The sequence below is a fragment of the Homo sapiens genome, chromosome 4, assembly GCF_000001405.40.
Source record: "Homo sapiens chromosome 4, GRCh38.p14 Primary Assembly".
NCBI classification, from domain to species: domain Eukaryota; kingdom Metazoa; phylum Chordata; class Mammalia; order Primates; family Hominidae; genus Homo; species Homo sapiens.
The window spans coordinates 5,487,925-5,501,589 of NC_000004.12; the positions used below are offsets into that span (position 1 = coordinate 5,487,925).

A 13,665-nucleotide genomic window follows, 5' to 3' on the forward strand; every position below is an offset into this window, starting at 1 on the left:
CAATGTATCAGGCTTTAGGAACAAAGCAAGTCTCATTTTAGTAATTTTATTTAAAAAAGAGAGTTGAATTTGAAGAATTCTAATTTAGGACCTAGGCTGGTCTATAGGCAGATAACAAGAATTCATAAACAATGTACAGAGTTACAACCTGATAACCCTATTCTTATATGGTCAGACCAGCCTGACCAACATGGTGAAACACTGTCTCTACTAAAAATACAAAAATTAGCTAGGTATGGGGCACATTCCCGTAATCCCAGCTACTCAGGAGGCTGAGGCTGGAGAATCACTTGAACCCGGGAGGCAGAGGTTGCAGTGAGCTGAGATCACGCCACTGCACTCCAGCCTGGGTGACAGAGTGAGACTCCGTCTGAAAAAGAAAACAAAATCAATGTAAGATTTTATGGTGTAATGGTGAGCACTCTGGACTTGGAATCCAGAATTAACAAACAGAACATCCTGCAATTTTATTAAGAGCAGATCAATATTTCAAAAACATTTTTTATTTAAATATAGGGAACTTTTTTTTTAGTTTTTTACTAATGTATTTTGAATGTCAAAACTCAGTTGTTAGAAAGGTTATCATAAATAATTACCTTTTAATTGTAGTCAACTTGATCACACACATTACTTTCATAAATTTCCCTTTCACAAGCCTTTCTGTGACTCACATAGACCATGCATGACATGCCTTAAATATTCTGCTTTGTCTTCTGCCTCCTCCTTAAATAACTCAGTCATTTTATTTGAGGACAAAAATTTACCACACAAGATTCTTTCTCATTCAAAATTAGTCTCTTTTCTTTGCAACCTTCCTTAGCAAAAATTTATCTTCATATCTATAACTTTCTTCACATCTTTCTCTCCTACTTACCAGTTCTTTTATATCTTGTTTCTATTTTCTTGCTAGATTTATATTTTAAAACCACCTCTAAATAGCCTCTGAATTAGACAAAACATTTTTTTCTCAATAAAGAATATATTTTATGTCTGTCTTATAATTCTTATTAAAAACTTCATATTTTTATATTTTATATACAGAATGTTATATGTTAATTAAAATTTTTAACTCTCAGTAACCTTGAATTTTAGTAAAACTCTAGGACTCAAGATCTTTAATTGTCTGTCATGTATCAATATTTTGAACGAGAACCAGTTTATAATTTGAAGTCGTAATTGAAAATGACCCAGACATTTAATGAGTACCTATTAATTAAACATAACCTTAAGATTTCAAATCACATGAAAAGTTTATTCATAGACATTTGTCCAATTTACGTTTATCTGCTTTATTAATTTTTAATAGCTTACCTAAATTACCTATGAGAATTGAGATATTAGACAAAGCTAATCATCATTTCAAGTTTTTTCTCTATTAATAATTTTTTAGCCTGTAAATATCAATTGTTTACCTAAGCAAGAACCCTAAAGTTAAATGCATGGTTTCCTGTCCATAACTCAGAAAATATGGCTGTTTTGATTAAATTAGCAATACTTAATTAATTCTATTCATCAAGTAATTGCAGGAAGATCATTTTGTTTTAGGCTGGGTTCATAGCCTTATGATCTGAAAACATAGAAAAAGCAAAATATAAAACTGTCTGATAAGTAAACCCAGGCAAAAAAACGTATGTAGACAATTATGAAGACATTTTAAATTTTATTTCATTAACAACAATTTTATTTTATTTTATTTATTTTTTATTATTTTTTTTGAGATGGAGTCTTGCTTTCTCACCAGGCTGGAGTGCTGCAGCACAATCTTGGCTCACTGCAACCTCCGCCTCCCAGGTTCAAGCGATTCCCCTGCCTCAACCAACTAGTTTACCAAAGATTTACTTACGTGACATGAACTTTATAAAATGGGTTAATTACTGTATATTTTATATGAGTGCTCATTTATTGAAATCAATCAAAATACAATTTCTTAAGAGATTTCTGGCTGGCTACATCAGATTTTATTATGTAAACAGAAGATACAGTGTAATACATGTATATATACATAAATACATCTAGACAGACATATATACATACAAATGAAGATCTTGTAGTTTTTATTTTAGAATTTTGTCATTGGATAGTAATACAAACTCACTGGTTTACAATTGATGGTTGGACCCAAATTATTTTTTGAAAAAAATGAGATAAGGCTAAATTTTAAGATCTTTTTGTTGTTTTAAGTAGGCATTTTTTTTTTTTTTCTAGACAGTCTCACTCTGCCACCCAGGCTGGAGTGCAGTGGCATGATCTTGGCTCACTGAAACCTCTACCTCCCGGGTTCAAGCAATTCTCCTGCCTCAGCCTCCCGAGTAGCTGGGATTACAGGTGTGTGCCACCATGCCCAGCTAATTTTTGTATTTTTAGTAGAGATGGGGTTTCACCTTGTTGGCAAGGCTGGCCTTGAACTCCTGACCTCAGGTGATCCACCCACCTCAGCCTCCCAAAGTGCTGGGATTACAGGTTTGAGCCACCACGCCTGGCCTGTTAGGCAGTCTTATGAAGGCTGTCAACCAAATTTGGGGTAAGGCAGTTTGACTAGGTTGCCAATATACTGAATTGGACAAAGAATAATGTGACTAAATTATGTCAGGAGGCCTAAAAGATAAGTTATTTTATTATAGCAGAGCCTCGTCTTTTTTTTTAATTTTTTAAATTTTTTTATTATTATACTTTAAGTTTTAGGGTACATGTGCACAAAGTGCAGGTTAGTTACATGTGTATACATGTGCCATTTTGGTTGCTGCACCCATTAACTCGTCATTTAGCATTAGGTATATCTCCTAAAGCTATCCCTCCCCAACTCTCCACCCCACAACAGTCTCCAGAGTGTGATGTTCCCCTTCCTGTGTCCATGTGTTCTCATTGTTCAATTCCCAACTACGAGTGAGAATATGCGGTGTTTGGTTTTTTGTTCTTGCGATAGTTTACTGAGAATGATGATTTCCAATTTCATCCATGTCCCTACAAAGGACATGAACTCATCATTTTTTATGGCTGCATAGTATTCCATGGTGTATATGTGACACATTTTCTTAATCCAGTCTATCATTGTTGGACATTTGGGTTGGTTCTAAGTCTTTGCTATTGTGAATAGTGCCATAATAAACAGACGTGTGCATGTGTCTTTATAGCAGCATGATTTATAGTCCTTTGGGTATATACCCAGTAATGGGATGGCTGGGTCAAATGGTATTTCCAGTTCTAGATTGCTGAAGAATCACCACACTGACTTCCACAATGGTTGAACTAGTTTACAGTCCCACCAACAGTGTAAAAGTGTTCCTATTTCTCCACATCCTCTCCAGCACCTGTTGTTTCCTGACTTTTTAATGATTGCCATTCTAACTAACTGGTGTGAGATGGTATCTCATTGTGGTTTTGATTTGCATTTCTCTGATGGCCAGTGATGGTGAGCATTTTTTCATGTGTTTTTTGGCTGCATAAATGTCTTCTTTTGAGAAGTGTCTGTTCATGTCCTTCACCCACTTTTTGATGGGGTTGTCTGATTTTTTCTTGTAAATTTGTTTGAGTTCATTGTAGATTCTGGATATTAGCCCTTTGTCAGATGAGTAGGTTGTGAAAATTTTCTCCCATTTTGTAGGTTGCCTGTTCACTCTGATGGTAGTTTCTTTTGCTGTGCAGAAGCTCTTTAGTTTAATGAGATCCCATTTGTCAATTTTGGCTTTTGTTGCCATTGCTTTTGGTGTTTTAGACATGAAGTCCTTGCCCATGCCTATATCCTGAATGGTAATGCCTAGGTTTTCTTCTAGGGTTTTTATGGTTTTAGGTCTAACATTTAAGTCTTTAATCCACCTTGAATTAATTTTTGTATAAGGTGTAAGGAAGGGATCCAGTTTCAGCTTTCTCCATATGGCTAGCCAGTTTTCCCAGCACCATTTATTAAATAGGGAATCCTTTCCCCATTGCTTGTTTTTCTCAGGTTTGTCAAAGATCAGATGGTTGTAGATATGCGGAGTTATTTCTGAGGGCTCTGTTGTGTTCCATTGATGTATATCTCTCTTTTGGTACCAGTACCATGCTGTTTTGGTTACTGTAGCCTTGTAGTATAGTTTGAAGTCAGGTAGCGTGATGCCTCCAGCTTTGTTCTTTTGGCTTAGGATTGACTTGGCAATGCGGGCTCTTTTTTGGTTCCATATGAACTTTAAAGTAGTTTTTTCCAATTCTGTGAGGAAAGTCATTGGTAGCTTGATGGGGATGGCATTGAATCTATAAATTACCTTGGGCAGTATGGCCATTTTCATGATGTTGATTCTTCCTACCCATGAGCATGGAATGTTCTTCCATTTCTTTGTATCCTCTTTTATTTCATTGAGCAGTGGCTTGTAGTTCTCCTTGAAGAGGTCCTTCACATCCCTTGTAAGTTGGATTCCTAGGTATTTTATTCTCTTTGAAGCAATTGTGAATGGGAGTTCACTCATGATTTGGCTGTTTGTCTGGTATTGGTGTATAAGAATGCTTGTGATTTTTGTACACTGATTTTGTATCCTGAGACTTTGCTGAAGTTGCTTATCAGCTTAAGGAGATTTTGGGCTGAGACAATGGGGTTTTCTAGATATACAATCATGTCGTCTGCAAAGAGGGACAATTTGACTTCCTCTTTTCCTAATTGAATACCCTTTATTTCCTTCTCCTGCCTAATTGCCCTGGCCAGAACTTCCAACACTATGTTGAATAGGAGTGGTGAGAGAGGGCATCCCTGTCTTGTGCCAGTTTTCAAAGGGAATGCTTCCAGTTTTTGCCCATTCAGTATGATATTGGCTGTGGGTTTGTCATAGATAGCTCTTACTATTTTGAGATACGTCCCATCAATACCAAATTTCTTGAGAGTTTTTAGCATGAAGGGTTGTTGAATTTTGTCAAAGGCCTTTTCTGCATCTGTTGAGATAATCATGTGGTTTTTGTCTTTGGTTCTGTTTATATGCTGGATTACATTTATTGATTTGCGTATATTGAACCAGCCTTGCATCCCAGGGATGAAGCCCACTTGATCATGGTGGATAAGCTTTTTGATGTGCTGCTGGATTCGGTTTGCCAGTATTATTTTATTGAGGATTTTTGCATCAATGTTCATCAAGGATATTGGTCTAAAATTCTCTTTTATGGTTGTGTCTCTGCCTGGCTTTGGTATCAGGATGATGCTGGCCTCATAAAATGAGTTAGGGAGGATTCCCTCTTTTTCTATTGATTGGAATAGTTTCAGAAGGAATGGTACTAGTTCCTCCTTGTACCTCTGATAGAATTCGGCTGTGAATCCATCTGGTCCTGGACTCTTTTTTCTTGGTAAGCTATTGATTATTGCCACAATTTCAGAGCCTGTTATTGGTCTATTCAGAGATTCAACTTCTTCCTGGTTTAGTCTTGGGAGGGTGTATGTGTTGAGGAATTCATCCATTTCTTCTAGATTTTCTAGTTTATTTGCGTAGAGGTGTTTGTAGTATTCTCTGATGGTAGTTTGTATTTCTGTGGGATCGGTGGTGATATCCTTTTATCATTTTTTATTGCGTGTATTTGATTCTTCTCTCTTTTCTTCTTTATTAGTCTTCCTAGCAGTCTATCAATTTTGTTGATCCTTTCAAAAAACCAGCTCCTGGATTCATTAATTTTTGAAGGGTTTTTTTGTGTCTCTATTTCCTTCAGTTCTGCTCTGATTTTAGTTATTTCTTGCCTTCTGCTAGCTTTTGGATGTGTTTGCTCTTGCTTCTCTAGTTCTTTTAATGGTGATGTCAGGGTGTCAATTTTGGATCTTTCCTGCTTTCTCTTGTGGGCATTTAGTGCTATAAATTTCCCTCTACACACTGCTTTGAATGTGTCCCAGAGATTCTGGTATGTTGTGTCTTTGTTCTCATTGGTTTCAAAGAACATCTTTATTTCTGCCTTCATTTCGTTATGTACCCAGTAGTCATTCAGGAGCAGGTTGTTCAGTTTCCATGTAGTTGAGTGGTTTTGCGTTAGTTTCTTAATCCTGAGTTCTAGTTTGATAGCACTGTGGTCTGAGAGACAGTTTGTTATAATTTCTGATCTTCTACATTTGCTGAGGAGAGCTTTACTTCCAAGTATGTGGTCAATTTTGGAATAGGTGTGGTGTGGTGCTGAAAAAAATGTATATTCTGTTGATTTGGGGTGGAGAGTTCTGTAGATGTCTATTAGGTCCACTTGGTGCAGAGCTGAGTTCAATTCCTGGGTATCTTTGTTAACTTTCTGTCTCGTTGATCTGTCTAATGTTGACAGTGGGGTGTTAAAGTCTCCCATTATTATTGTGTTGGAGTCTAAGTATCTTTGTGGGTCACTCAGGACTTGCTTTATGAATCTGGGTGCTCCTGTATTGGGTGCACATATATTTAGGATAGTTAGCTCTTCTTGTTGAATTGATCCCTTTACCATTATGTAATGGCCTTGTCTCTTTTGATCTTTGTTGGTTTAAAGTCTGTTTTATCAGAGATTGGGATTGCAACCCCTGCCTTTTTTTGTTTTCCATTTGCTTGGTAGATTTTCCTCCATCCCTTTATTTTGAGCCTATGTGTGTCTCTGCACATGAGATGGGTTTCCTGAATACAGCACATGGATGGCTCTTGACTCTTTATCCAGTTTGCCAGTCTGTGTCTTTTAATTGGAGCATTTAGCCCATTTACATTTAAGGTTAATATTGTTATGTGTGAATTTGATCCTGTCATGATGATGTTAGCTGGTTATTTTGCTCGTTAGTTGATGCAGTTTCTTCCTAGCCTCGATGGTCTTTACATTTTGGCATGATGTTGCAGTGGCTGCTACCAGTTGTTCCTTTCCATGTTTAGTGCTTGCTTCAGGAGCTCTTTTAGGGCAGGCCTGATGGTGACAAAATCTCTCAGCGTTTGCTTGTCTGTAAAGTATTTTATTTCTCCTTCACTTTTGAAGCTTAGTTTGGCGGGATATGAAATTCTGGGTTGAAAATTCTTTTCTTTAAGAATGTTGGATATTGGCCCCCACTCTCTTCTGGCTTGTAGAGTTTCTGCCTAGCGATCAGCTGTTAGTCTGATGGGCTTCCCTTTGTGGGTAACCCGACCTTTCTCTCTGGCTGCCCTTAACATTTTTTCCTTCATTTCAACTTTGGTGAATCTGACAATTATGTGTCTTGGAGTTGCTCTTCTCGAGGAGTATCTTTGTGGCATTCTCTGTATTTCGTGAATCTGAATGTTGGCCTGCCTTGCTAGATTGGGGAAGTTCTCCTGGATAATATCCTGCAGAGTGTTTTCCAACTTGGTTCCGTTTTCCCTGTCACTTTCAGGTACACCAATCAGACGTAGATTTGGTCTTTTCACATAGTCCCATATTTCTTGGAGGCTTTGTTCGTTTCTTTTTATTCTTTTTTCTCTAAACTTCCCTTCTCACTTCATTTCATTCAGTTCATGTTCCATCGCTGATACCATTTCTTCCAGTTGATCTCATTGGCTCCTGAGGCTTCTGCATTCTTCATGTAGTTCTCGAGCCTTGGCTTTCAGCTCCATCAGCTCCTTTAAGCACTTCTCTCTATTGGTTATTCTAGTTATACATTCGTCTGAATTTTTTTCAAAGTTTTCAACTTCTTTGCCTTCAGTTTGAATTTCCTCCTGTAGCTCGCAGTAGCTTGATCGTCTGAAGCCTTCTTCTCTCAACTCGTCAAAGTCATTCTCCCTCCAGCTTTGTTCCGTTGCTGGTGAGGAGCTGCATTCCTTTGGAGGAGGAGAGGCACTCTGCTTTTTAGAGTTTCCAGTTTTTCTGCTCTGTTTTTTCCCCATCTTTGTGGTTTTATCTACTTTTGGTCTTTGATGATGGTGATGTACAGATGGGTTTTTGGTGTGGATGTCCTTTCTGTTTGTTAGTTTTCCTTCTAACAGACAGGACCCTCAGCTGCAGATCTGTTGGAGTTTGCTAGAGGTCCACTCCAGACCCTGTTTGCCTGGGTACCAGCAGTGGTGGCTGCAGAACAGCGGGTTTTCCTGAACTGCGAATGCTGCTCTCTGATCGTTCCTCTGGAAATTTTGTCTCAGTGGAGTACCCGGCCGTGTGATGTGTCAGTCTGCCCCTACTGGGGGGTGCCTCCCGGTTAGGCTGCTCGGGGGCAGGGGTCAGGGACCCACTTGAGGAGGCAGTCTGCCTGTTCTCAGATCTCCAGCTGCATGCTGGGAGAACCACTGCTCTCTTCAAAGCTGTCAGACAGGGACATTTAAGTCTGCAGAGGTTACTGCTGTCTTTTTGTTTGTCTGTGCCCTGCCCCCAGAGGTGGAGCCTACAGAGGCAGGCAAGCCTCCTTGAGCTGTGGTGGGCTCCATCCAGTTCCAGCTTCCAGGCCACTTTGTTTACCTAAGCAAGCCTGGGCAATGGCGGGCGCCCCTCCACCAGCCTCGCTGCCGCCTTGCAGTTTGATCTCAGACTGCTGTGCTAGCAATCAGCGAGACTCCGTGGGCATAGGACCCTCCGAGCCAGGTGCGGGATATCTCCTGGTGCACCGTTTTTTAAGCCCTTCGGAAAAGCGCAGTATTGGGGTGGGAGTGACCCGATTTTCCAGGTGCCATCTGTCACCCCTTTCTTTGACTAGGAAAGGGAACTCCCTGACCCCTTGCGCTTCCCGAGTGAGGCAATGCCTTGCCCTGCACCCACTGTCCTGTGCCCACTGTCTGGCACTCCCTAGTGAGATGAACCCGGTACCTCAGATGGAAATGCAGAAATCACCCATCTTCTGCGTCGCTCACACTGGGAGCTGTAGACCGGAGCTGTTCCTTTTCGGCCATCTTGGCCCCAGGCCCATTTTCCTGGTCTTAAGTCTCTGTCCTTGAAGATCAAAATGTTGCCGTTCCTTTTCAGTATGAAGAGAATGTCTTTAACATGGAAATTTTTTCTTTGCTTTAAAAAAAAAAAAAACAGCATGAAGATCAAAGTGATTTTATTTCATTTCTGCTGGTTTGCAAGTGTTCTTCATAGATATTATGTCAGACTAGCTAAGGAGTTTTAGAGAAGTTTTGAACAAAGAGGGTTTAGCTTAGAGAACGATAAAGAAAAGAAATTGTGAGGATGGGGAGAGCTCTGGAGAGAAAAGAGTTTCAACTAGTTTTAAGATGGTATATTGTAGTGAGGCAGTCTTTGAGTTTTCAACAATTTTTTTTTAGCCTCAAGATATCAATGAGCTATCATATCTTATTTGAAATCCACGATTTTATAGTCATGGTATTTTAATGCAGTTTTAAGAACGCAGACTCTTTAAATAATCCCTGCAGTATTTGAACATGTTAGCAGCTGGAATCCCAGAAAATATGTTGGCATGCCTTTGAACTTTGAGAGCCCCATTCTGTGAATGTTCTGGTCTAATGTCAAATACACAAAAGCCAATTAAACACAAGTGCTGAATGCAAAAAGTCCAAATAAATGCAAACACAGACAGAAAATAAACTATATATTTACTAAGAAGGATGATAAGCCACCTCTTCAACTGAGGGTAAGAGGAAATATCCCATCACCAAGGCCTCAACCCGAAGGGAGCCTCCCAGCTCTGTCCTCTGGTTCCTGCCCAGTCCACTAGGATGATGCATTTTAACCATGACCACCTTTCCCAGTTGCCCTACCTGGAGAGCTGCAAGCCTTGGGGGCAGAGGAACTGCCCACCTTGGTCCTGGGCCTTTGCATGAAGGGTTGGGGGAAGGAATGACCAATTCGCTGTCTTATGAAACACAGTGTTGCTGCTGGTATTTCAGTGTTATCTGAAGGACTTACTCAAGTACCAGCATTGTTGCAAACACTAGGCATTCCCACTGTGCGCACACACACACACTCATACACACAACTGTGACCTGTCTAAGGGCATAGACTGTTGTAGTCATCTTAGGATAACCCTCAGGACCCTGCATATAAGCAGCATACACAGAGGCTTGCTGGGTGAAACAGCTCTTTCATTTAAATCAAGACAACAGGTGTTGACAACCTGCTCTGCACTCTGTTGGAAAGAAACATACTAGTTTTAAAATTCAGGCTAAAACCTCTTTTTCAGAACAAGGTAGAACTAATAGTAATTATTATTATTCCCAGCCCTATACTAGATATTTTACATGTATTCTCTATGATCCCCTTAGCCTCCTGCAAAGTGAACAATAGAATCCCTAGTTTTACATAAGAAAGCTGAGGCTAAAAAGATAAAGTGACTTGACTAACATAACTCAAGTAGACAGTGTTGAGAGCCAGGATGTGAGTTGAGTTCTTCCCTGCTCTAAAAATTCTCACTGCCTCCTTAAACGTCTCCATTCCGTTCTTGCTGCCACCATCCACATGCAATGACAGCTGTGGTATAGCGAATGAACTTTAACTTGAAGATCAGAAACAGAGGGATATTGACATCTTCCAACATGTGAAAGGTGACCAAGTGGCCCACTGCTAGGAAATGCAATGTTCGGAATCATACCCCCTCAACATAGTTTGTAATAGGATATTTTGTAAGTCTGTGTTTAACAACTGTTTGGATATTTACTGGTGGGATTCTTTGATTAGTGCCTGTCTCCCCTTTTGTCATTGAGCTCCTTGAGGACAAAGAATATGACTGTTTGGCTTGCCAGAGGATCCCCTGCTCCTAGGCATGGTGGCTGGTACACTCGTGAGCATTTAATACATGTATACTGAATGAATGATACCTGGGACTCACCACCTTTACCGACTGTGAGCTTGGGAAATATAAATATATGGTATATACAAAAATATAAATATGTGATCTCAAGTAAACATCACAAGGAAATACAAGATGGGAATTATTATCTCCATTCTGTAGACAGAGAAATTACTATGCATTAAGTAACTCACCCAAGTGCACCTGAGCTGCGCTTTGATCCGAGGCCCATCTGGCTACAGTGCACAGCACCGTGGATGCCTTAATGATCAATCTTCCCAGGTAGGGGAAGGTTTGAGCTGAAGGCTCCACAGTTGCCCTGCCTGCCCAGTGTGTCTCCTGGATGTGCCTCCACAACCCCATGCCGCACCACTAACTCAGATCTGTGCTTGTTTGCAGGCTCAGGAGGCAGCAGGGACAGGGCAGCCAGCTCTTGGACACCGACAGCCGAGGGGGAGGCCAGGCCCAAAGCAAGCTCCAGGACGGGTGCAACAACAACCTCCTCACCCACACCTGCACCCGTGGCTGCAGCAGCTGAGCCCACACTTGTTGCTGCTCAACAGGACTGCACTCGTCTCTGCCCTGCCCACCCAGAGCCCCTCTTTGTGCCCTGATGGTCCCTGTCTCACCCCTGAAAACATCAGATGCAGAAAAAGCCCTGGACTTGGAGCTGGGAAGCCTGGGTTCTGGTCCCATCTCCATGACTGATTCACGTGTGACCTCAGACAAGTCACGCCCTCTCTGTGCCTCCGTTTTCTGCATCTGCCAAAGGGGTTAAACACTTCTGCCCCACTTCAAATTACAAGATTATGGGGAGAACCCAATTAGGTAGGAAACATGAAAAACCTTTGATATTTATAAAATCATTTTTACGTGCAAAATATAACCTTAATATTTGAAGTGACCCCCATTCCCCAAAGCAATCAAACCGTCATGACTTTGCAATTTGGCACATCCTAGCTTGTTAGAGGGCACTTCCGAAAAACACAGCCCTGACAGCAAAATAAAGGTCTGATATGTTGGCCCCTTCTATGGAAACAACGCTGCCAAATCCTGGAGCAAAACCTGAAGTGTCTTCATGTGCATTCTCTGGCAGGCCACAGTCCTGAGCTTGTAAGATGGTGCAGCATGCAGACCAGACTTGTCCCCAAGGTCTCAGCGCTGCGGTCTCACTCCTCCCCTCATTTAAGAAGACTATCCTTACCTTTTAGTTTCAGCAGTCCTCACCACCACCATATCCCCAGTGCTGGGATGGCACACAGGTGTCCATTCAGATGAGAGTTGGGTCGCTGAGCATTGGTTACTCCTGCAGAGTGTAATCAGCACCCCATCCAACTGGCCCGAAAGCCCAGACCTGCAGCAGAACTCTCCAACTCTCTATCAGCTTTCAGGGTTTTCTCTCCTGGGAAGGGTGTAAAATCAGCTTGTCAGATTCTTCTTACAGAGAGTATCCAATCGGTATTGGTGGAGCGGCTCCCTATTTATACAATAGGAAGCATGGGTGCTTAGAAAGTTTATTTCAGGAGGAAAATGGGTTCACACAAAAAGCAAACTACATTCTGGTCTGCTCAGGGAGAAGCTTGCCTTTGAACTGGAAGATGTTGGGATGAGCAGGGAAAGCTTAGACTTTGGAGTCAGGTTTGTGTTCAGAATCCAGCCCTGCTGGCTACTAACTAACTGGGAGACCTTAGGCAAAGCATGCAATCGCTCTGAATGGCAGTTTCCTCATTTTTAAACAGGGATAATAAAACTAATATTGCAGGGGAGTTACAGGGTTAAATAAGATCCTGTGTGTAACCCCAAGCATTGGATGACTCATAGAATGGCCTTTTTTGTCAGCATAATCGTCATCATTATTTAGATACTTTCTTCCTTCACTCACCCAGCAGGTCAGTTTTCTGTGCAAACAAACCTGTTTAGGATTCTTCCAAATGTTCTTCCTGGGGTCTTTGATATTTGTTTGTTACATCCTGCTGAAGTTCGACTGTGTTTTTATTTTTTCATCCAACTTCCATTTTTCACTTTTTACATGATTACTCAATCCTTGGGGCTGTCCATGTCATCTCTTAGATTTCTTAAAAGACATTTTAATGTATGGTTAGGTTTTATATTTTTATTTTTTAAAAAAGAAATAGTCAGTGTTTTCCTCCTTTCAACCGAGACTATTTCTGGATTGTGTGCTCCTCGTCAGTTGACTTGTTTTGCACACTTTTCTTTACTTCATGTCCCCATCAACAACCGTCCTGCTCCCCACCTCCCCCAGGAAATAAGGGGCCTGCTCCTCTCCCTACTGTGACCCTGGAGGCTCTTAAGATGATGATGGTTTTTTTTATTGGGCTGAGTTCACGAATTAGGGGCAGGAGCTGGAAGTCGCCCTAGGAACACCAGATTTCCTGGTTCTGTTCAAGTTGGCATTTCTTGTTTGGAATAAACTATTTCTTGGACATTCCTTCTCACCACTTTGTTCTTAATTCAGGGTTGGGTGGGATGGGCCACGTTCCTCTTAGCGTGAAGAGACTCAAGTTTAATTAGAAACACAAAAATGGGCATGGTTGGTGGTGTGGACACCAAGCCAATGATGGAATCACTTTGATTGGTGGTATGGACACCAAGCCACAGATGAAATCAAACTTAGCTTGGCAATTCAAGGCTCTATCTAACTTGATCACAATCTACATGATTATTGTTACTATTTTGTATTTCCTAAGGTACCATCTATTCACTAAGGAAAAAGTACAGAAAATTCTTCATCCAGAGAAAGACACTCTTTAACATTCCCTCAAATTACCACTCAAACCTTTATACAGCACACACACAGGTGCAAATGAACCAGTATTTTCCTTTCCATACAGACTTCTTGATTTTCCACTTTCCTGCTTTCATTTGTCCTGTCCTCTCTACTGGGGATGCCTTTCAGCTCTCGTCGACACATGTTAAAATTCCCCTTTCTCAAAGGCCAATTCCATTTCTCCCATGATGTCTTCTGGGGCTTATGGCACCACCCACCCAAGCTAGACGCCACCTCCTCCAGGAACTCTCGGGCA

The 13,665-nt window shown here is 41.0% G+C and overlaps 1 protein-coding gene across 7 annotated transcripts in view; it reads left to right on the forward strand.

Annotated features, from left to right (window-relative positions):
- Positions 1 to 13,065, forward strand: part of STK32B (serine/threonine kinase 32B) — a 481,604-nt gene extending 468,539 nt beyond the window's left edge. For all 7 annotated transcript variants that reach the window (XM_047415924.1, XM_047415925.1, NM_001306082.2 and 4 more), the window contains one exon: positions 11,021 to 13,065. In XM_047415924.1, coding sequence (XP_047271880.1) covers positions 11,021 to 11,159 — 139 coding nt within the window. In that variant the 3' untranslated portion in view covers positions 11,160 to 13,065. The remainder of the gene's footprint in view (positions 1 to 11,020) is intronic.